The 25159-nt window shown below is 36.8% G+C and overlaps 2 long non-coding RNA genes across 2 annotated transcripts in view; one reads left to right on the top strand and one right to left on the bottom strand.

Moving 5' to 3' along the window:
• Positions 1-3653: 3653 nt before the first annotated feature.
• Positions 3654-25159, top strand: part of LOC101928272 (uncharacterized) — a 98228-nt gene continuing 76722 nt past the window's right edge. The window contains exons 1-3 of the long non-coding RNA NR_120635.1: positions 3654-3697; positions 4750-4897; positions 14858-15084. This is a non-coding gene — a long non-coding RNA (uncharacterized LOC101928272). The remainder of the gene's footprint in view (positions 3698-4749; positions 4898-14857; positions 15085-25159) is intronic.
• On the bottom strand, positions 12190-23634 carry LINC00709 (long intergenic non-protein coding RNA 709). Its single transcript, NR_108039.1, has 2 exons — positions 23387-23634; positions 12190-12655 (listed from the first exon to the last, which is right to left on the bottom strand). It is a non-coding gene; the product is annotated as a long intergenic non-protein coding RNA 709 (long non-coding RNA).

Here is a 25159-nt window from a genome sequence, read left to right as displayed (position 1 = left end):
TGATCTCTGCTTACCTAATAGATCTCATTCACCTCTACATCTCTGCTCTACTACTGCTTACTCAGGTGTGTCCAGTAGGTAGGCCACTGATGAATTTGCAGGGTACAAAAAGAGCTTAATGGATGGCTTAAAATATGGCTGTAACTCAAATCATCATGAAAAGGGATGGAGATGTATTTTGTAAACACTGCTGTGCATCAATAATAGTCAATCCAAAAGATATACCGCAAAAAATCTACTTAAGAGACCATGAGTGAGCACGTTATTTGTGAGGAATAATTAACCCTGCGTAGAATCTAAATATAACTTTGCAATATGAGAATATCATAACTTCTTTAGTATATTGCAGCCAAATATTGAGTTGAAGAAATATATTTTAATTGTTAAAGATCACTGTCAGGGACAGTATTTTCTGTCTTACTTGTATCGAATTGTGTTAACATGTAATTTATGGCCAGCCTGGGTTTAATGCAGTAATTTGGATTCACAGTACTAATTTTCATTCATCACAATTCACTTCTTCATTTGTTGGGCTAATGATCCACAAACTAAAAAAAATAATAATAATAATAGAAGAAGAAAAAAAATGTGTGAGGCTGCAGTATCAGGTATCAGAGAAAGAATCGTTTTCCCCCATTATGACTGTTCAAGGCAATGTTTACTCATCTGCTTGGAGGATTGGTCTCTAGGAACCCCTTGTTTTATTCTTTTCTATGTCTGTTTACAAGTGACAGATTCTACCTATGGTATTTTTTATTTGTTTGATGAATGAAATAAAAACCATTGAATTAATTTGCTTGGATAAAGGAGCCCAGGGGTATAATAGGCAAATGTTTCATGTTATTCAGAACTCAAAACAAAAGCTTTATTTTCAGAAATATTTGAGTCTTTATAAAAAGAAAGAATAGAATTACATATAGACACATACACATAAATATATATGTATCTGATTTGCTCAATAGATACATTTAAATTCAGACATAAATAATTATCTAGAAATTATCTGGTATGTATTATTGCTTAAATACAAATCAAATTTCCTTTAAAATAATAACATTACACCTTGGGTTTGTGATAAGTGATCGTCAACCTACTTGCTTACCTCTAGTCCCCAACTCGGGGTAGTTTTTATAATGTCACACAGAGATCATCAATCAAGTTTTTGCTTTTAATTTCCCATGATTATTATTAGTATTATTTTTGGTTGATAGGAGATTTTACTCATCTAAGGATTGCAGGAGCCAGTCCTTTAACAGTTAGAGATGAAATGAGAATCAATTTTGGCCAATAAACAGTGAACGGTGACTCAAGGCATCAGGTTAGAGTTAAATTCAGGGTACTGTAAAATAGTAACCTCATTGAGGATCAAAGTCATGCTTTTTTATCCAGCGCTTCTTTGTGACAAACACATTATGTCAGCTCCACTAGCTCATTTGTCTGCGGCAGTTCCACTTTATCAGGCTGGAGTAAAAAGAATTGATGTGTCTGGATAGATAAAGTAAATGGAAACTCAGGACTCATTCCAATATGCTGTACTTTGATATATTTTGCAAACCTGAGAGCAGCTGGTGTAACACTAGTTACTGTTTGTATTTAAATATTGTACATTAGAAGACCTTTGAAAAGGTGTTTTATAATGTTTCTCTTTTTTTATTTTTTAGCACCTATTGGCTTTCAATTGTTCTTTTTTCTTTTATTTTCTTATTCATAAATATTTTCAGAGCCTGCTCTTTCAGAAACTTTTGTCTCATTTCCAAGTCAGACAAAGCAAGTTAAGATACTTTACAAAGTGCTAATTGAAATATAATTTTAAATTAGAGTGGTTATTTGCCTTTGCCTTATGTCTTCATTCTTTATAAAATTAAACTGGGGCTTTTTTGATTTGGTAAGATTTATTTCCCACCATTTTCTGTTTTCAAACTTTTGTCCTTTCTGGTTATTATTCAACATAACAAATGTATCTTCTTGAATGTTAGATCAAGGCAATATGAAAGTATTTTTATTTTAAATTATGTTTTGAATAAAATAAATGATCTATATCAAAATAAAAATCTTAAACATATAACATGTTTTCATATGTAGATTAATAGAACAAAAAAGCTACCAAAATTACAAATAATAGAACCATAATATATCTCAAATTATTAGACCAAAACAAGTTTTAACATGTAGATACTGACACTAAAATTACTGGTGTTTTTAGAGGTTTAGGTTGCAGACAGCCTTTAGATAATGGTTCAAGGAGAGTAGAAGAGAAAGAATCACTTTTGAATGATGAAAATGAATTCATGAAAATTATACCCATACTTTGTCCTTTCTTTCCTTTAAAACTTCTTTACATACTCAAATGAATTATTGAGAACATTAGTTAGATCACCGAAACCCAAAATGTTCCTGTTTATTTGCATACTTGAATTAATGTATTTTTTCTTCCATTTGGATTTATCTCAATAAATGCTCTTTCATTCTGTACTCTTGCACATATTGAAAATTTTGATTTCAAATTTAGGGCAAGAGTATAATCGTAAAACCTTTCAATAAAGTTGAAATGGTACCAGATATTATGCATATTAAATACATGAGTAGAGAGAGGTGGGAGAAGAAGCCATTGTGATAGGGAGGTATCAGGGTGAATGACTAAAATGACCCACAGATCTTTCTTTTACCAATACATTTAGGAGGAACTCAATCAGCTACTGATGACTCCACTGATTATGGGCTTTCTCAAGCTGCCTTTATGAAGAACAGGAAGACAAGATGGTCGGCTCTTATCCCTGAAGAGGAACTTGATCCTGATGGAAACATCCTAATGGAAAATGTGGGTTGGGATGGGAGCCCGTGATGAAGTGGCAGCTTGGCCTCACCACAAGTCATTCCAGTGACATGCGTCACAGTGCCTTCCAGCTCCAAATTTTCAGAAATAGTTTTGCATATGGAAAAATATGAGGTGACATAAAATGGTAACAAAGGTTCTACATTTCTATTGACTCTTCAACCACATGTCAATTAGGGCCAATATTTAGAACATACTGGATCTTCTGAAAGCGTGAGAAAGGAAGGTGCATTTCCTTGCTCTCCTTGCAAAATATACATAGCTACGCATTTGATTTTTATTGGGAATGTAATCAACAGAATATTTTAATAAAAAATGTGAAAGCAGGCAGAAAATTTTCATATACAACATATATATATAATATATATATGTAGAAAATGTACTTTATTATCAGCCATTTCAATTACCATGGACTCTAAATGTTATGAGTTTAATTAAATAAAGATGAGTTTTAAAAATAAAGAAATGTACACATTCAGCATTTTAAAAACTATACTTCTAAAAACTCTTATTTATAGAGATGTCCCTTAACATGCAAGATATATAATAAGCACTTAGGATAGGCTGGCAATGGCAAAATATATATTAGTCCTAAGTAACTAATACATATGTACCTATACATACTAACTCTCAAATGAAATGATAAAGACTCTAATTGTAGCAACCAAAAGATCTTTCCTTGTTTGAAGATTGATTGAAGAGAATCCTGACTTATGTTTCTGTTTATATGAAAAGTAACAATGAAGAAAGAGAAGCAGAAGAAAAAGTGCATTCAAAATGCTATAGCAATCATGAGGCTCTCACCTTGCAGTTAAAAAAACTCCAGCAAAGTTGAGCTTATTAAGGGACAAAATGGAAAATTTGGTAAGTAATGGAGGTAAAGACGATTGATAACCAAAAGAAAGGGAAAGGGAAGAACAAGGGAGGGGTGTTATTTAGGATATGCGCAGTGTAGACACCATGTAGCTCTGCTTTTAGCAGCTCAAAATGTCATGTCATTGTTCAGTGTGTTCAAAATGCCATATATGCCATATAGTTTGTGCAGTGACATTTTCTAGGTTATATCAGCAGGGAAGAATAGTGTCATGGGCCCTCCAAGGTGTGATCCTATGGAATGCAGGTGCACAAGTTCAGTAATGTCACTGAAACCCTATCCCAAGCAATGAATGTCAGCCAGTCTGTCCTCTGAATACCTCACTTGATACAGTGGAGGTGCAATGGGAAACCCTTCCTGTTTACTGAATGTCCTACTCTGTGATTGGCCAGAGCCATTTCCTTTGCAATATAAGCAGGTTAAGTAATTCTGCATTTGCTAATCTGATCATGGATAACCAGATGGCCTAAAGAGTGCAGAACTTGTTTCAAGCTTACTCAGCATGAAAACCACTGAAGTGGGTGACTTCCAGTTATAGTAGGGTGACTTCAAGTTATAGTAGGGTGACTTCCTGTTATAGTATGAAATTCCTACACTGAGAGTCCTGAGCATGGAGTCCTGGTCTGAACCCTTCCCGAGTTGCTGAGTGACTTTGGGCATGTCATTTAATCTCTAGGAGTCTCAGTTTCCTTACCTGTAAAATGAGAATGATGGGCTCATCTTGACAGTTGGTTTTGGTTCTAAAGTTCTATGAGAATTAAAAAAAGGGACACCTAAATATATATTCTCATGGAGCCTGATTTCTACCAAAAACACCATTGAGAATTCCAAAATCTGCTACTTTTGATGAGAAATAATGAGTGATTTATCTGCCCTTTGGGTTTCAAGGTTTCTAACAACACTTTGAAATGGAAATCCCCAGAGACAGTTTGTAACAGCTGATCTTTGGTACATTCTCTGTGGCATAAATTTTGCATATTTTTGTCATATTTAAATTTTATATGAGCTCAAAAGGAGATAAAAGTTGGCCTGATTTTTTCAGATGACAGGTCTGAAACTCAGAGAATTACAAAGCTAATTCGTGCCGTAACTTGAACAGTTTTCTGGATGCAAGCACATGTGATTTCTACTACAACCACAGCTGCTGGGAAGGGAAGAAAGACATTTGTTGAGTGCCGACAATGTGTCAGGTATAAAGCTGCATCATTTAATGCTCATTCTGAATGTTAGACAGATTATCTCCTCAATATCACAGAGGTTAAATCAGACGTTGGCTAACTACAGCTGAGCAGCAAAATTCAGCCAACCACCTGTTTTTGCAAATTAAGTTTTATTGGCCCTCAGCCATCCTCATTCATTTACATATTGTCTCTGACTGCTTTCACTATGTGGCAGTGGAGTTGAGTATTTGAGACAAGACAGTGCAGCCCCCAAAACCTAAAGTATTTATTTAATCTGGACTTGTACTGAAAAGCTGTTTAATCATGGGTGAAATGAATCCTTTGGAGACAGAAGACATCTTTTCCATTGGAATAAAAAGCACGAATTTGGTAGACTTAATTCCAACCTAAAAATGCTCAGAACAGGAATACCAACTGATTAATTTTTTAAAAGTACAATGAAATAATGTATGATCATTAAATTATATCACTGATTTTCTTTTCTTTTTTATTTTTAATTGAAAGTAAAAATTGTATATATGGTGTACAACATGTTCTAACAGATACATACATTGTGGAATGGCTAAATCAAGCCATGTAACATATGCTTTACCTGGCATAAGTATTATTTGTTTGTGATGAGAATGTTTAAAATCTAATCTCTTAGCAATTTTCAAGTATACAATATATTTTTATTAGCTGTAATCACCATGTTGTACAATAGATCTCTTGAACTTCTTCCTCCTGTCTAACTAAAACATTGTACCCTTTGACTCACATCTCTCCAGTCTCCCTGCCCCTCTCCCCACAGACCCTGGTAACTATCATTTTACTCTCTGCTTCGATGAGTTCAACTTTCTTATTTTTTTTGAGACAGAGTCCTGCTCTGTCACCCAGGCTGGAGTGCAGTGGCACAATCTTGGCTCACTGCAACCTCCGCCTGCTGGGTTCAATCGATTCTCCTGCCTCAGCCTCCTGAGTAGCTGGGACTACAGGTGTGTGCCACCACGCGTGGCTAATTTTTTGTATTTTTAGTAGAGACGGGGTTTCACCATATTGGCCAGGCTGGTCTCGAACTTCTGACCTCGTGATGTGCCTGCCTCGGCCTCACAAAGTGCTGGGATTACAGGCATGAGCCACCATACCGGTCAAGTTCAACTTTCTAAAATTCCACATATAAGTGAGATTATACAATATTTGTCCTTGTGTGTCTTGCTTTTTCATTGAACATATTATCTTCCAGGTTCATTCATGTTACAAATGATAGAATTTCCTTCTTTTTAAGGATAAATAGTATTCCATTATATATGTACGTACTACATTTTCTTTCTCCATTTATTCATTGATGGACATTTAGGTCGATTCAATATCTTGTCTGATCTGAATAATGCTGCGATGAATGTGGAAATGCAGATATCTCTTTGACATACAAAAAACCACTGATCTCCTTGGATAGCTCAAAAACTGACTGAAGACAATTCAAGAAAAGAGTTCTAAAAATATTTTGAGCAGGCCAGGCGAGGTGGCTCACATCTGTAATCCCAGCACTTTGGGAGGCTGAGGCAGGTGGATCACGAGGTCAGTAGTTCGAGACTAGCCTTACCAGCATGGTAAAACCCCATCTCTACTAAAAATACAAAAAAAATTAGCTGGGCGTGGTGGTGGGTGCCTGTAATCCCAGCTACTTGGGAGGCTGAGGCAGGAGAATCGCTTGAAACCAGAAGGTGGAGGTTATACTGAGCCGAGATTGTGCCACTGTACTCTAGCCTGGGCGATAAGAGCAAAACTGTCTCAAAAAATATATATATATATACATATGTATATATATATATTTTTTGAGCAATGGCAGCATTAATGAAATAACTGAGTCAGTTACTAATTTTTTAATATTTATTGTAAGTATATATTTTTATTATTTAGTTATAATAAAATAAATATGTTAACTTCAAAGGAAAATTTACATTTATTTGTATTATGTTTGGTAGTTTATACTTGCTCCATCCAAGTTTATGAAGTTTGTTTCATCTTCATGTGGGACTCTGAGGCCCAGCTGTTATGAGATCTTCTACATTATTTCTAAATGTTCACTTCTCAAAGCCGACTTAATAACAGCTAGCAATTTTGTGGCACACACCGTGTCGTAGGCACTGTTCCAAGGGACTCGCATAGAATTCATTCATCCCTTACAATCACCTTTGTATCGTTAGTTACTATTGTCATTCCCATTTTAACGATCAGGAGACTGAGCACAGAGAAGTTAACAAGCAGGTCACTCCATCAGCAGTGGCTTGGTAGGACCTGAACCCAAGCATTTCTGGTTCAGAGACTGTTTTCTTGGTCATCATGGAATGTCCATTTCTGCAACTGTCCTGATTTCCTTATTTCATACAACTGCCCTGTTTGTAAGGTGACTAGAACAAACAGATTTACTATCCCCTGACCAACAGAAGGTCCAGATGACTTTACCTGTACCATAGCCAGAAAGTTGCATCTCTAGGACTGGAGCCAAAGCCATCTTTTTTTTTTCTTTTTTCTAAAAACATGTTCTTATTCCATAAAGTCACCACTGGACTTCCTCCTAGGAGATAATAAAACAAGTACCTTCTTCTTGAGATGATAATGCTTTATAAATTGTTAACACTTTTTCAAATAATTCCATTTTATTGTGTGGTACCTAGGGAATAAATACCTAACTCATAGAAGTAAATCTCTAATAGAGTTACAGTGGTAACCATGTTGCATTGTTGGGGGGGCAAAGTTTTTGGTAGAAGAGAATTTGAGACCCCTCAAGTCAACATATGTGGTTCTGTGGATTTCCTAGTGAAAATTAGAAAATAGCTATAGATACATCTGCTAGCATCACCTCAAGCACCTTCAGAATTTGTGGAGTCATCTGTTTAGCATCCTGAGAGGGTACTGACATCCAACAGCTCAAGTGAGTCCCCAGATTGTATGAGCCCCTAATTAACTGAGGGAGTATACAAAGTTACTGAAGAACTCAATTGCTTAAAGGCACCAGTGGTGAATACAAGCTGACATCTACAGAAGCTGTCTGTGACTAACCAAAGGACTTTATCAGTGGCTTGCTATCACAATTTAGCAACATAGGCATTGCATTAAGACCTAAATGATGTAATAATTATGTCCAGCAATGAAATATAAGGCAAGGAGCCATATTGTGAAAGAGAAGGAGAAATTTCGTTTCTTTTACACCTTGAACTAACTTTTAAAATAGGTGTCATTTATATCTAGCCCCAGATAGATTCAGAACAAATAGGAATATGGTTAAAGCAATTTTTCTTTTTGACCAAAACCAACTAAAAAGTGAAGAATGGAATATAAATGGGAGCGCCTTGTTTGGCCATGTATAGATTTTTGACCTGTGTTTGAAACCCAGTTTGGCAAATTCCAGCCAATTCTAAATACCCTGAATAATCAGTCATTTCTGTTGACAAAGGTGTCTATGATGAGAAGCTAGGAGGGCAACCAATGTAGACAGTGCCATAAGACCTTTTATGGTAACAAATGGGGGAAAAAAATAGACCATACCGAGATACTGATGCTGTATGGCCTCCTTTTTCATTGAGGAAAGAAAAGCCAAATTTATGCCCAGTTTCAAGTAAAAAATATGTTTCCGGTTTTGGAAAGAGAGTGTTGGGTTTGGCCACATACGAAAAAAAGTCAAGGAAGAAATCACCTGCAGGAGCTATTTTGAATAATGTCAATTACATTGTGGCTTCCATTATCACTGCACACCAGAAAGAGGTCTTTGCCAAGTCATTGACCTCCATAGACCATAACGCTAGGATCCTGACCTTTTAGAAGAAAAATAATTATTCTCTCAAACTGCCATCAATTATCAATGCCTACATGAGAGATATTTTTCAAATTATTTTGTTTCTAAACATGAAGATTATATCTTGACTCAACATACACATTCATACATAAAAATGTTTTATAAAGCAAGACTTATACCTTTGTTGAGTAGTGTAGTTTGATATTGGTCATTTCATTTCATTTTATTCTAATATATTGTCTTTCATTGCAAAACCTAGTTTTTACCTACACAATTGATTTAACCGCTCTGTTGATTCTCAATCATAGTTTGAAAAACAGCAGACCAAGGCATATCTTCTCAAGCTTGCAAATGCATTTTCAGATATAGAAATTGAATGATTCAAATACTAATGCAAAAGGCCAAGTTTGCCTTTAAAAAATAATCATTTAGTTGAGATTCCTTGAAGTACCCAATTCCATTTTCATCACCTCCCTCTGAAAAGGTATTTTTAAATGAGCTATATGCAATGAGTTAGTTATGTAAATAAATAGTGGTCTAGAAAATATTGCACCATTTCTAGTGGTCTAGAAAATATTGCGCCATTAAAGAATTACAAATACCAGAGGAACTTCCTGAATGTTTAGATCCTGAAAAACTGTTTTTTTTTTAATCAGACTTGTCATAGGAGAAGTATAGGATTCAAATCAAAAGAAAGAAAGAGAGACAGAGAGAGAGAGACTTAAGGGACCTCATATAATATCCTCAAGGTTTTACCCCAAGCACAGTATTATGAGCAGCGAGCACAATGATTTGCCCACAGTAAATTTTCAACCATTGAGCATGCATTCACTCATTCATTCATTCATTCAACAAAGATTTTTTTGAATGCATAATCCTGTTAGCAATGTTTAAGGCACTGAGACTATCATTGCTAACAAGACAGACAAGGTTTCTGCCCCTCAGCACTTAGACATTTATACATGGGTGTCTAATAAGTAATATGAATAAATGAATTAATAAATTGTGGGCCTCTTTAGAACAACTTCCTTTGGTTTTGGATTTAGACTAACCTAGATCCAAAGCCCCTCTCACAAGCTATTTGGAAAATCAACATGCATATGATTTACTGACACACATTTGTCACTCATTAAGTGTGAATTCCCCTCTCATTCTAAGAGGGCAAGAAATGCTCTCTTAGCTCTTCTGGACGTATAAAATGTAACAATTTGATTGTTAGCTTTGTAAACTAAAAAGATAAGTGTAGTTAGAATACTAATTTCTATAAACAAGATGATGGGAACTTTACTGAATCAATGAAAAAGAAATTAGGTTTTAAATTTTTTCGTGTAACTTTCTAAATATGTTGTTTCCACATTTGTAATTTTTAATTATTAATAATTTAGGCTAATCATACTTAAAATTAAGTTGCATAATTTATTAACTTGATGATTGATCTCTTGACAATACAAATATATCTGAGGTATGTAATGCTTAAATATATAGCATATAATTAACTATTGAAATATTTTGATGAGGCCAATGTGCTACTCTTCCATAATTTTGCCTCTGTAATACTTACAAAATATTGATGGATAATGCCTTCAGTTACATTCTAATATTGGCAAAGGAATGTACTTGATTTTTTTTCTCACAAACACCTCTGCCTTGGTTGAAAGAAGCAGTAACACTTTGAAGAAGAGACCTTCCCTTCAGTGATTTGGTTGTATGGTCAAAGTAAGAGAAACTCTCAATTGTCCATCAAAATACACTCTCCTTTCTTTGGGGATATATGCTTTTTGCATTTTCTTTCTTTTTTTTTAAAGTTGGGGAGGTTGTTGCTTTTGAGGGGAGCTACACTTTTTTTTTTTTTTTTTCCTTTGTGTGGAGAATAGGGTCATGCTATATTGCCCAGGCAAGTCTCAAACTCCTGGACTCAAGCTATTCTCCCGCCTCTGCCTCCCTAAGAGCTGGGATTACAGACGTGAGCCACCACACCTGGTGGTTTTTGCATTTTCTATCCTCACTTGCAGTTAAGTGTGGTTATGTGATTCAGTTCTTGACAATAAAATTTGAAGGCAAAGGACTTGTACCATTTCCAGCCCAGGGCTTTAGGAAAAGCTATACCTTCCACTAGCTGGAATCTATATGCTACAGCAAGTCAGACTGACCTGGCGGACAACAGCAATGAACCACTGAATTATGGAGCAAAACATGTCAGGTCCCCTAGGTTCAATTCGATAATTTTTTATAGTAGCTACTGTAAGTCAGGGACTGTCTAGAAGCTCAGAATACATCAACACACAAAACAGATGCAGATCCTTCCCTTACTTTTATTCCAATGGGAAAATACAGAGAGTAAATAGGATAATCAATGAGTAAATTACAACATCTGTTATAAAAATAAAAGTGCTATGAGAAGAATTAAGTAAGTGTTTTGGGAAGGAGAAGCATTAGTGGGACTGGGGTGCCTCCATAGGGAAGACGCCATTTCAGCAAAGTCTTTTTGAACCAATCAGAATAGACACCAGACACTAAACAACAAATGTGCGCTCCTGGCTGGAGATCAGCCCTACACGTTTTGTGAACTCCCCGTGCTTTTTCTTGCCAATGTCCATGCCTTTCTCTTTGTCTAGGATTACATCCTTCTGACTCTACATATCTAAACCCGACAGGTGATTTCTTCCTTGACTTTCTTTTTTTTTGTATGTGACCAAACCCAACACTCTCTTTGCAAAACCAAAAATATATTTCTACTTGAAACTGGGCATTAATTTGGCTTTTCTTTCCTCAATGAAAGAAGAGGACAGGCAGCATTAGTATCTAGGTGTGGTCTATTTTTTTCCCATTTGTTACATCGAAATGTTTTATGGCACCTTAGCTTAAATGCAAGTTCTTTGGAGAATCGGCCTGCGCACCTTAGCTTAAATGCAAGTAGTTCCTTGGAGAATTGGCCTATGGCTTCATAGCACTGCCTCCCAAACCAGGTTGAGTTTCCTTCTACATACAGTTGTGGCTGCCTAAATTTCTGCTTTGTAATACTTAGAATTACTAGCTCAATGTCATTCTTTTCTGATAGACTGTAAGCTTCTTGAAGGCAGGTGCTATTTCTTCCTTGTTCACTGGTTGTCTGTTTTATCTCTAATGTGGAGAACTGAATAGACCAGACAAGAATGGTCAAGAAACACTTCTCAAATGAATGAATGAATGACTAAGCAATGATGTCCCATTATCAGAGAGGAAATATTCCACGATGTTGACACGTGATTTCTAAGAAACTGAGCTTATTTTTGCTTACATAAAGGCAACAAATATACTTAAGTTGAAACAGCATTTAACAACTGTTATTTGTGAGCATTGTGTGAGGTGTTGAGAAAAATACAATAATGATTAAGATATAAACCCTTCTTTACAGAAACACTGATTTGTGTATTTTTGAGCTTTCATGGCACTTGGGCTTGACTTAATCAAGAATGTATACACACTAAAAAATGTGTATTACAAAATTTATACCAGTACACACCTCGTAAAATTAAAAATAAAAATATTTCAATGGATATTTAGAGTTTATTATCTTGTTTTTTAAGAATCAATATATCTCAGTCAAACCTCAGTAACTTGGATTGAATTTTCCAGTTGTATTTGGTTTTCAGACATCCATCTTGTTAACGCAAACTGAAAATGGCTTACTTTTAATACTACCATAGATATGCAGGTAACAGAGAATAAGGCAGCCTAATGTGATAGAATAAAGCACAGAGCAAAACCTAAATGGCCTCCTAGAAAAATCTTTACTTCTCTGATGTTACTTTTCATATCTGTACAATTATTAGGTGTGAATGGATGTGCTTCAAGGCCTCACAAGAGTCTCCTTTCCAATGAACCTTCGTGCTCAGTGTGCAGAGAACTTGAGTGCGTAGTAATTCTTGCAGCAGGTCCTAGATTTTTGACCCAAAGCTAGGCTATACATTGGAGAATGCACGGTGTTGTATTTCAGCCGGAAATCCAGGCTCCTGATGTGTTAGAAAGACAAATTTACGAACAAGAATCAGAACATTTCTGTGCCTTCTAGAAAGATAGATGAAACCAAGATTCTATTTGTAATTAAATTCAGCATCTCCTTTAGCTACAGATTTATGTACATACATTACTGAATTAGGTCATTTCCTAATTTTAGAGAACTTTTGCTCATGCTTAATACTTAGGCCTCCTCATTTGTAATTACCATTCCCACAATGTTGGTCACAAACCTCAAAAGAAGAATGAATTAAAATTAGATGCCCCAAACAGTGTTTTTATTTTTAGCTTGAAAGACACTTGAACCCCTAACACTGTAAAGCGTAAGGAAAATTGCTACTCATTCAGAGTTTTGTTTTGTTGTGAGTAAGGTTTGGGATTTGTGTTTGCTCATTCTCTCCACAGCCTCTCCTCCAGGTGTTTTGTCTTGTTTTGTTTTGTCCTGCATCTGTTTTACAGTTTGTTGCTCTGGCGATAAATTTTAATTTATATTTATTTTTATTTCGGGTATTTATTCTATTTGTGCTCACTGACTTACAGGCCAGGATGGTGATTGTTATACAGTAGTTTACTTTTAAAAGAAATAGGGCTGCTCAAGCAGCTAATACGGGAAGATGTATCACCAGCCTGAATAATTGTGACAACCATAGACCGTATCAGGGCCTGTTTGTTTGCACAATACCCTCCTGCATTAAGAAAGCCGTCCCAGCTGTCTTGGGCTCCGGAGTCACCCATTTCATCGCTTGACACTGCGGCAGATGTTATGGATTGATAACAGACTTCACTTCATTCACTCCACATCTAAGATTACCTCTGGAAAAAAAAAACTAATACATTATAACCCTCCCAGCCATTTGTTAAAAAAAAAAAAACAGCAATTTATTTCCCTTTTTAGCATTAAATGGTGTGTGTGTGTTTTTTCTCCTTCTTTGAATGCACGTACTATTTAAAAATAGCCATTTAAGACATTCATTGCATGGCTTTCTGTAGGCAAGAAAATCAGTGAAAGACAAGAAGGTAATGATTTAATTGAATTAGGACCAGATCAGATTTTAGGGTGATGACTCACATTCTCATTATATCTGAAAGATGCTGTCTGCCTTTAATGATAGAGAGATGCACTGTATCCATAAATTTGTCAGAAATAAGGTCTTCTTCATTTCTGAAGAATTGGAAAAGAAGAGCTCAGTCTGGGATTTAAGAGAAGGTATAAAATCTGTATTAAGTTGAACAGATTTCTTAGCTAAACAGCAGATTCTCCTCTTTACTTTTGGAAATTCAAGGATCCCCATAAATGTAGCACAAATAGGATTGACCATTGCTTAAATATCATGCAATGAAACAGTCTCAAAAGTGGGCATACAAATAGATTTTATGGGAAAATGTGGATAAAATGGAAAAAAATGCACAATGGGCCTGTTTCTTATACGTGAAATGCTTTGTTTACAAACAGCATGGTTTTATTGTTCAGGTTGTAGAATAGCATGAGATCTGAAGTGCATTTCAAAATTAAGTGTGGCGAGGGAAGGTATGTAGATCAACAGCACCCCATTTAATCTCAAATCAAACTAGATGCAGAAGCTTCAAACTTGCCTTCTACATTCGGGCATTTCCACCATTTTTTACATCTCTTTCTATCTTAAACCCAGCCCTTCAGGGACAAGTGTTCAGTCTGTGAATACAGTATGTATGCAGGCACCTTCACCTAGAGGCAAGGTCACCAAAGCTGGCAGCAATGTTCAGAGTGTCAGGTCCAGGGTAGAAAGAAAGGAGGTGGAGAATAAACAATATGTGACAAGATCATTTTTATTCAAATGATGAATTACTTTCCTTTACAGGTGTGTAATGTCTTAAAGTTCACAGCATTCTTCTGCATTGATGTTGCCATTTTTATTTGCATCCTTTCTTGTGCTAGAATGGTCCACACAGGAAAGATAGTCTTCCCCTAGTTTACAATGGGTTAATTGAGTATCAGAGAAATAAGCAGACCAACTACCAGTTTTAAACTAGATCTTGTACTGCCTTATGAAGCCTTTCTTCTACTCTGTGTTATGGACTCCAAATGAGAGTGACAGACTTCATTTCGACAAAACTGTGTTCACCCCATTTTCCATTCTGTGAAGTCTGGTTTAAGAAGCAAAGGAATGGTTGCTCTCATAGCTCTGTCTTTCTTTTCCTTTTCCTCCCTTTTCTCACAGAGGCCCAGAGAAAACCATTGTTCCAGCAGTACTTCATAGGCCAGGGCAGAAGACAGAGAGAAGGGACACCCACAAGTCCAGTCAGGGATTACAATGACATCCATGGACCACCTCAATCTAAGCCAATTACAGATAATTCGGTGGTGGCAGCTGAGTTTTGAATATAAAACATTGCAACATTAACTAGAGGAGACTATGGCCCTGGAGTCTGAAAATGTGTGGGAAAGGTGAGTTATTTATTTATCTTATTTATATCGAGTTTTGGATGCTAGTTTAGTACCTTGTGTGGATGGGTCTGGGAGAGGCATTATTGTGGTTATGCTGATCATTATAGCTCTAGATCATCAAAACAGCCAACTCGTTTTAAATCTAGAACTGCAAGCTGGGCACAGGATTACAACTGTAATCCCAGTTACTTGGGATGTTGAGGTAGAAGGATGGCTTGAGGCCAGGAGTCCAAGTCCAGCCTGGGCAACATACTAAGACCCCATCTCTTAAAAGAATTCCAGAAATACACAGCCAAGCATTCTGGGGACTATTGCAAGATTCAAGTACCACTATCAAGAAGAGTTGACCGCTGATGTGGAAATCCAGCAGGTTAAGTATAGGAAATCCAGCAGGTAAGTGTATCTCCAGAGGAGATAGTGGTCACAGCCTTGATGACAGTAGGCACTGATGTCCGAGGAGGAGGAAAGTAGGAAATAGGAAGACTGGGGCAACAAATGGTTCTCTTAAGAACAGCATAGGTGAAGTACAAGGGACAGGATTCTTCCCAGCTGCCATACTGAAAGAACTAGAAAGAACCCCACAAAATTTCAGGTCTTCCATCAAGCCAGGTTAGGCTTTGCACAGTTTTCAGGTTTAGTGAGGGGCTATCAGGCCAGGTGGGAAAATAGATTCATTCAAGAAAGATTCAGTGTTGTGGTCAATATAGGAAAATGGTGACTTGTAAGGACATTGCCAGGATTAGCCCTGTTTCAGGGAACCAGATTTACTAGGACCCACAGGTGGTGGGAATAGGCATTGCTATGTGCTCCCTGTTGTGATAAGGCTATTCTAGAAATTCAGAAAGGTTGAAAAGGAAAGTGGCAGGGATCAAACTGATTGTTGCTCTGCAAACATAAAAGGAGTTCTTTGGGCCGGGCACGGTGGCTCACGCCTGTAATCTCAGCACTTTGGGAGGCCAAGGTGGGTAGATCACAAGGTCAGGAGTTCAAGACCAGCCTGGCCAAGATGGTTAAACCCCATCTCCACTAAAAATACAAAAAAAAAAATTAGCCAGGCATGGTGGTGGGGGACTGAAATTCCAGCTACTTGGGAGGCTGAGGCAGAGAATTGCTTGAACCTGGGAGGCGGAGGTTGCAGTGAGCTGAGATCATGCCACTGCACTCCAGCCTGGGTGACAGAGCGAGACTCCGTCTCAAAAAAAAAAAAAAAAAAAAAAAAAAGGAGTTCTTTGTTTCTGCATCAGAAGCCAGAAAATACTTATTTCCATATTTCTTCACTTGTATACCACCTATACTTTAACATTTTAACATCTTTGAAATCAGGGCCCATCTTAGTGTTGTCTCACAGTTTAATTGACAGTAATTTTTCTTGCTTAGTAACACCATATAATGGTACTTCTTGCAATAAAATATGTCTAACAGTTGATCAAGTGTCAGACATCTGCTATGATGTAAATAATCAAACCAAACCAACTAAAACCAAACAAAAACAAGTTGAATGAGATATCTGCATCCAGTGAAAAAGAATCCAAAATTTCTTATGACAGAGGGACCGAAAGAAGGACTCTAGGAAACCCTGAGATGAAGATAAAACATTTTTTTTAAAAAAAGGATTTTGCTGAGAGACTAATACATTATTTGATTAAAATGAATTCTTACAAATTGTTTATCAATTTATAATTTATACCTATAAGATCAGCAGCAGTAAAGAGCATGTTTTATTTTAATTTCAATTAATAGAGCAAAGAAAGGATGCAAATTGGAGCATGAGATTAGACTACAGGCCTAGCGTGCAGGATGTTTGTGGGAGAAGTTTCTCACTCCATTAAATTATAAAGATGGAAGAATACTCAAGAGACCCCATGAGATGGAATCTGTTTGAACATACGCTGGGAGATTTCAATCATAAACGGGAATCTCACAATGAAAACTTTTCTTTTTAAAAATCCAGTTTAGATTGCATTTTCCACTTTACAAAATGTGTATTGTTGAAAAGTCCTATTCTACATTGATAAAATGTTTTTAAGAATGAGAGATTTAATAAGCCCTGGGCAAACTACTTTTATGAAATGAGCAAATATTCTCCATTTATCTAGCCTATAAATTTGAATTGTCAGGTTAATATACACCTACACTTAATATAGTAATGATCATGATGATATAAAACCACCAATTAGCTCTAGATCTGTGATCAGTCTTGTACATAACATAGTCAAAGATAAAACACTCTTGGCCTTAAGGAGCTTGCATTATAAGTCAGAGATAAAATATAAAGAGAGTTTGTATTCATAGGAGACCAGATCTGGAAAGGCCTAGAGATGGGAATGAAAATGCCTTCTGAGTTGGCATGAGAGGAAGGCCATAGTATTATTTAGTGATATTTTCCTTTTGTGTCATGAAAACAGACTGTCATTTAGCCTTCCCAACTAAGATCTCAGGTTTTGCGTGATCTTCCTAGGAACACTGTGACCTTTTCAACTGGCCTCTTGGCGAATCATCCTGGGCAGCAAGATGGCTTCCCTCTCTGGGATTTGATGGCTACCTACAGAATCTCTGGTGTCCTTAGGTAAAGGCCTCATGTGTCCAGTAGTTGTGTCCTGTCCTGGGGGTGATTCTAGGATCACTTTAATCTCCATGGAACTACAGAAAAACTAGAGTGGTAAACTGACCTCTACCTTTAAAATTAAAAAAAAAAAAAAAAAGCAGAAGGCACAGGCTTGATCTAGGATAAACTGGGAACTTCATTCCAACAGCAGAAATGTTTCACCAGGAAGTGCTTCATCGGTCTACAGAGAACAGAACTGTTAGCTTTCTACCACTCCACAAGGGTCCACTTCCTGGAAACACAAGCAACCTGATGTCTGTGGGTGGTGGAGGAGCAGAAAACAGTGAATAGACAAAGGAAAACAGCAACATACTTAAGGGTCTCTGTCACCTGGGGCAGCTGGTAGATCCAACAGAAGGAGAATGAATTGAAGAGTCAGATACTTTTGACCAAGAAAACCGGAAATGAGACAGCTCGAGTGGATAGACTTAGATCACATGCAAAAACAAAAACAAAACCTCCTGGAAAGGTAAAAAGAAATTTAAAAATTTGAAAGTGTAATAGAGGAACTGATACAATATCATTGTCAAGTTGGTGGCCTACAAGAGAAAGTAAAATAAATCCTCACAACACAAAGCCAAAACATAGAGACAAAAGAGATGGAAATCTTTGGGGGAAAGAGAAGCAGTGTGAAGGAGAACCATGAAGAGTAAGAGGAGAAAGAGGAGTGTGAGAAAAAGAAAGTGAACTCAGAATCTGGGGAATCATTTGCTGGGTAATTTTTCAGGTTCTTTTTGCTTTAGTAAGGCTTTTTTGGTTGTTGTTGTTTGTTTTGTTTTGCTTTAGAATGGGTAATATCGGTGTGTCATGAACCAAGGTTATAATTAAGCCACTTATCTGCAGTTCAAGTCCCAGACCCCCAAAGTTTTAAGTAAGGATTGGAATAGGTTATATTAATAAATGTAAATAAAGAGACTCATTCAGTGGCAGAAAATTAAAAGTCCAGTGGCAGAATGTATGCCCGAAACATCAAGCAGGACCAAGAAACTCATCACATATAATAATCACTACCACTCACCATGACCACAAAGTCACTAAATGGCACACATTTTATGTATCAAACAACATAAAGCAAAATAGATGTGGAAAATCATCTTGAGATTGATGGAGAATTTAACTCTAAAATGATATACTGGATAAATAAAATGTGGGACATCTATACCATGGAATACTATGCAGCCATAAAAAGGAATGGAATCATGTCCTTCGCAGGGACATGGATGGATGTAGGAGCCCTTATCCTCAGCAAACTAACACAGGAACAGAAAACCAAACACCACATATTCACACTTATAAGTGGGGACTGAATGATGAGAACACATGGACACATGGTGGGGAACAACACACACTGGGCTCTGTCTGGGGTGTGTTGGGGGAGAGAGAGCATCAGAAAGAATAGCTAATGGATGCTAGGCTTAATACCTAGGTGATGGGATGATCTGTGCAGTAAACCACCATGGCTCACATTTACCTGTGTAACAAACCCGCACATCCTGCATGTGTATCCTTAAAGTAAAAATTAAAGAAAATAATAATAATAATAATAATAATAATAATAATAATAATAATACTAGAAGAAGAAGCTTCAATGTGTTTCTTTATTAATAAACAGATTTAAAAACATAAGTAAGGTCAAATAAGATTTAAATAATATCACCAACAAGCTTGATATAATAAATATTTACATATAAAACTTAAAACCAAAGAAGGAGTTTGTATTTTTTTAGAGCAATGGAAGATTTGCAAGAGTTGTTCATAGGCTTAGGTTCAAAGATAACTTCAATACATTCTAAAAATGTACAGACGTACCACCCACATAATCTGAATAAAATTCCAGATATCAGAAATAAACAACAAAAATAAATTAAAACTTCTTAGCTGCTTAGATATTATTATTATTATTATTGTTATTATTATCATTTGAGATGGAGTCTTGCTCTGTTGCCCAGGCTGGAGTGCAGTGGCATGATCTTGGCTCACTGCAAACTCTGCCTCCTAGGTTCAAGTGATTCTCCTGCCTCAGCCTCCCAAGTAGCTGGGATTCAGGCATGTGGCACCATGCCCAGCTAATTTTTGTATTTTTAGTAGAGATTGGATTTCACCATGTTGGCCAGGCTGGTCTCGAACTCCTGACCTCAAGTGATCCACCCACCTTGGCTTCCCAAAGTGCTGGGATTATAGGCGTGAGCCAAAATGTCGGGCTTTAACTGCTTAGATTTTAAACAATTGTCCTAAAGAATCCCTGGACAAAGGAACAATGACAAAAATCACAAAATGTATTTCAGGAAAAAGTATTGGAAAAGAGAACATGCCCTATGAACCTTAGCAACAAACAGAAGCAGCAGACACACTGATATCTACTATACGTCCATGTTACAAAAGGAGTATCCACATCCAAGTTCGAACATCAGTTAAAGAGGTGGTTTTAGTGGAAATACTGTCATTTTGAATGTTTAAAAAGGGTAGTCATAGGAGAAGTTGTCGGACATATTTTAAGGAGAAATAACTTTTTCAGGTCATACTCAGAGGTGTTTAGAAGAGCTCAAATCTAGAAACATGAGAATTGTTTGAGAAGGAGAACCTAGAAGACTTGAGGTCACCTTGAAAATGTGGGTGAGATGACAGCTTGCAATAAAATACAAGATTCCAGAATTCTTGGTATGACAGGAAAATAGTTAATGTGCAACCCTGTCATATCTTGATGCATCTGCTGATGGCTATTTTTTCAAAACCTCTAGAGCATGACCACTAAATAGCATAACGTTCACATTTTTGTCCTCTCTCTCATTTTCTTCTTTTTAACGAACGGTTGGGAAAAAAACAAAAAACAAAAAACAAAAACCAGCAAACAAAAACCAAAAGAAAAAAAAAAACATCACCAATAAACAAAAGAAGCTTCACCATCATTTGGGCCAAAGAAAGGGGTGCTTCATTTTCCCCGGAAAGATATGCCCTTCCTTCATTTGCTAAAAGCTGTTGATGACCACTTCGAAAAGAAACTCCACTTTGACTCTGAATTGCAGCAGTCTCTTTTTTTTTGATCCAGCTGCCGTGGAAGTGCATTGTCGAGCTAGATAAAAGGTTGTTATTGGAACAAAAAAATTGTGTTTTTTCCTTCCTATGTAATATGTAATAAAACTATTCTATGAAGTCTCAATGAACTCTCTCAATTGAGAAAAATACAGACAATTTTCATTATAAGTGAATGTCTCCAATTCATTCCTTTTCTATGGAAGGAAGACATGCAACAGTAACTTACTGTAGGCCACATTTCATAAGATATAATCTATTCCATTATTCTTGTGTATGTTTCATATGAAAAATGTTATGAAGTTTTTTCCCCTCACAAAAATACATATTCCCTTATCTCATTAAGTCCCTATCTCACACAACACCATTCCTCTACTGTCGCCCAGACCCCCAGCTCCCCTGCTCCCCCGCTGGGGTCTCAGCCTGTATTGCTATTTCAGAAATATAAAAGAAATGCATGCATTTCATTCACGCACAGTCAGTCCATTATTCAATTTAAAATCTCTGGCAAATGTAGATGAAATTCTGAGAATGAAATGAACCTGGTTTTGGTTGACTGTGCCTGATGAGATTCAGCATTATCTCCAAAATGCTATGACTTACATTTTTTGTTGTATGTAGAACGTTCTATTTGTTTCTAGAAATTACAGTGTTTTTGCCTAGCAATGACCTTACGCTGGTCACAGGTACCCATGTGAAACCAGTTAGTCTAAGCAAGCATTATAACCCTGAACACTGGATTTATCAAACACATTTAACATAGTGTGTGCTTGAAGCTTTATGTTTGATTATAAAATTAATACATGCTTATTTTTGAAAATTCAAATACCGTAAAGCACGTTAACAAAAAAAGTAAAGTGTTCTACTTCCCCTCTCTTCTATAGTTAACCCGTTTCTGGATAGTCTCTGTGTTTAAAGGTTAGGCATGAACCTTCACACAGATGCTTACCCTCCCTCACTCCCCTACATAAATATTCATGTGTATTTTACATACTTTTTATTCTTTTTAAAACTATAAAATAATACTGTACATGCTGTTCTGCAGAAATCATTTTTGCTCAGCATATTATCAGTAAATCTCTGTGTTACTTCCTACAGATCTGTTACATTCTTTTGAATAGCTACATAACATTGCCTTTTGCTCTTAAAATCAAAGCTGCAATGAAGATCACTTTGCATAAAGATTTCACTATACTTGATTGCCGGGTCAAAGAAAGTTTATTTTTTATTTTGATAAAGTATGTATTTTGAGATTTTAATAAGATAAAATATTACTTTAAATGATTTTAATAGCCCTATTAAAAATTACACCAAATTTATATTCTCTGTTACGTACTCCAATAGCATTACTCTATGAGTAAAACACATTCTATTCTTTGTGACATGCTTAATATTCCTTTCTTAGAGTCATAGACAAAAGACAGGAACTGGCTAGAAGCATGATCTTATTTTAAAAATTAGACGTGAAGGCCAGGTGCAGTGACTAACGCCTGTAATCCTAGCACTTTGGGAGGCCGACGTGAGTGGATCACCTGAGGTCAGGAGTTCAAGATCAGCCTGTCCAACATGGCAAAACCCTGTCTCTACTAAAAATACAAAAATTTGCCAGGTGTGGTGGTGCATGCCTGTAATCCCAGCTACTCAAGAGGCTGAGGAAGAAGAATCACTTGAACACAGGAGGTGGAGGTTGCAGAGTGCCGAGATCACGCCGCTACACTCCAGCCTTTGCGACAAGAGTGAGACTCCATCTCAAATACACACACACACACACACACACACACACACACACACATATATATTAATTAGTCGTGGAGTCCCTTGGAAATAGGTTTTGCCCACAGCCCTATTACCAATGTGGATTTGTGACTATGGACACATTATTAATATCAGTGTCCATGTGGTTCTAGTGAAAGTTAGCACATGTCCTAAGTATTTGCAGGGTTGTAATAAACATAAAAAGAAAAATATGCAGGGAAGATATATTCAGGTAAATGCACTCTAGAGAAAAATGCATTTGGTTACATATAACACACACACACACACACACCACAAATAAATGAGATAATATGCCATAAATGATGAAATGAGACCAAATCTCATCAGTGTCAGTTCATAAATATCTTAAAACTGTCTAATGACAGACGCCTCATCATTTTCAGTCAAGGCATATTATAAGCCAGTTAGTAATAGCTAGTTATTCATTAAGTATGTTTTGAATTTCTATAGTTGACATTCAGAAAAAATATTTTCTTAGCAGCTTGCATTAGATTCCCTTTTAATTCAACTATTTGAGTTTGGAAGACACTTTAATAAGTCTGTTTATGTTAATAGCAGTAATAATAGTAAATACTTTTGTGGCACTTATTGTAAGCCAGATGCTATCATATGCATTATATGTACGTTAATCCATTTAATCTTCCTGACAACCCCTGAAGTTGTTTTACAGGTGAGACACAGAGAGGTTAAGCAGACTACCCAATGTCACACAGCAAGTAAATGACAGGCTCTGGACTTAAATTAAAACAATCTGGATCCAAGTCTATGCTATTATCCAGAATACTACATAATCGTTCTTCTGTGCTGTGACAGATAGCACTTTAAAATGTAGTTATTAGCTAGTACCAATTTTTCAGACAAGGAAAGTACTAAATGAGGATAGAAACTTACTTGATCCGGAGTAGGAAAAAGAACGAAGAGAAGAACATCTTTGTAGTTACAAGTGGCTATGGTGGGTGTGCAAAGAAACCCATTTTGTGACTGTCCATATCTTCAATTAAAGTATGAAAACAATAAGACGTTTAATTTGAATAACTTCTGGTAGAGACTGGTGAGAAGGCAGGGTTTTGCCCCTAAAAGAGCACAGGATAAAAACTGAGAGAGTATCCATGGCTACAGAAGCCAGGCAGGTGAACTGTTCCCCTTATAACAAGAAAAATTCCTGGAGAGCTTTGGTTTAAAGTATATATCCTCCCAGGCTACGTAATGGGAGGTTGAATCTGATTCAAATAGATTTCCACTGGGAAGAACTCAGCTAACCTCTAGGTTTCACCTGCTAAATGCCAAGCACTGATTACATTTTGGCAATGCAAAGATATTCATCAAATCAATTAACTAGGACTACCTGAACTACTCTGATTTCAGGAGAAGGTGGTGGTGGTGGTGGTGGTTGATGGGTCATGACATGGAACATTGTCCTGAAAATTGGCCCTTGACCTTGGACCATAAAAGATAGCTGGAGAACAAGTGTGAAACTCTAAGAGAGACCGAGGGAAAAAATGATATGGTTAAGATCAAGACGATTCCCTTCATTAGATAGAAACAGTTTAACTGCTTTCCAAGAAAACAGCTCCAGCTAACATTGAGTAGCTTTTCTTCTTAATCTGCCAACTCTTTAGTTAATTAATTGGGATAATTTCCAATAGATAAATGGATTTGGAAACTTGATAGTCAGCTTAAAGATTGTTTTGTTTCCTTTTTCAAACAACTGTATTGATGTATGATTGACACACAAAATGCTGTACATATTTAATGAACACAACTTGATGAGCTCGGGGAAAAGTAGACACTCATTAAACTATCACCACAATCTATGCAATAAGCGTATCCATTACCTCCCAAAGTTTATTTATTTATTTATTTATTGAAATGGAGTTTCACTCTTGTCGCCCAGGCTGGAGTGCACGATCTCGGCTCACTGCAACCTCTTCCTCCCAGGTTCAAGCAATTCTCCTGCCTCAGCCTCCTGAGTAGCTGGAATTACTGGCATGCACCACCACACCTGGATAATTTTTGTATTATTAGTAGAGACGGGGTTTCACCAGGTTGGCCAGGCTAATCTCAAACTCCTGACCTCATGTGATCCCTCCGCCTCAGCCTCCCAAAGTGCTGGGATTATAGGCATGAGTCATCGCACCCAACACTGTCTTTATTTAATATTACTATTTTTTTTGTGATGACACTTAACATAAGATCTACCCTCATAAAAAAAATTTTAGTATACAATACAGTATTGTTAACTATAAACACTGTGCTATAGAGTCGATGTCTAGGTCTCAGGCATCTTGCATAGCTGAAACTTTGTGCCCCTTGACATTCTCCCCAACCCCTGACAACCACCATTTCCTGCTCTGCTTCTGTAAGTTTGACTATTTTCGATTCCTCACATAAGTGGCATCAGTTATTATTTGTTTTCTGGCTCTCAATTATTTCACTTGATGAATGTACTCCAGGTTCATTCATGTTACTGAAAACGGCAGAATTCCTCTCCTGTCCCCTGCCCTCACCATTGAGGACCTAAAGGATAATGAAAGGGGGGAATCTGTGCCCTAAATAATCCCTTTTGGCAGTTACTTTCTGTTTTCAAAGTTCAGCTCTCCCTCTCCCTCTCCCTCTCCCTCTCCCTCTCCCTCTCTCTCTCCCTCTCTCTCCACGGTCTCCCTC

This window comes from Homo sapiens, chromosome 10, assembly GCF_000001405.40.
Source record: "Homo sapiens chromosome 10, GRCh38.p14 Primary Assembly".
Lineage (NCBI taxonomy): Eukaryota > Metazoa > Chordata > Mammalia > Primates > Hominidae > Homo > Homo sapiens.
This window is presented reverse-complemented; position numbering and strand designations above follow the sequence as displayed.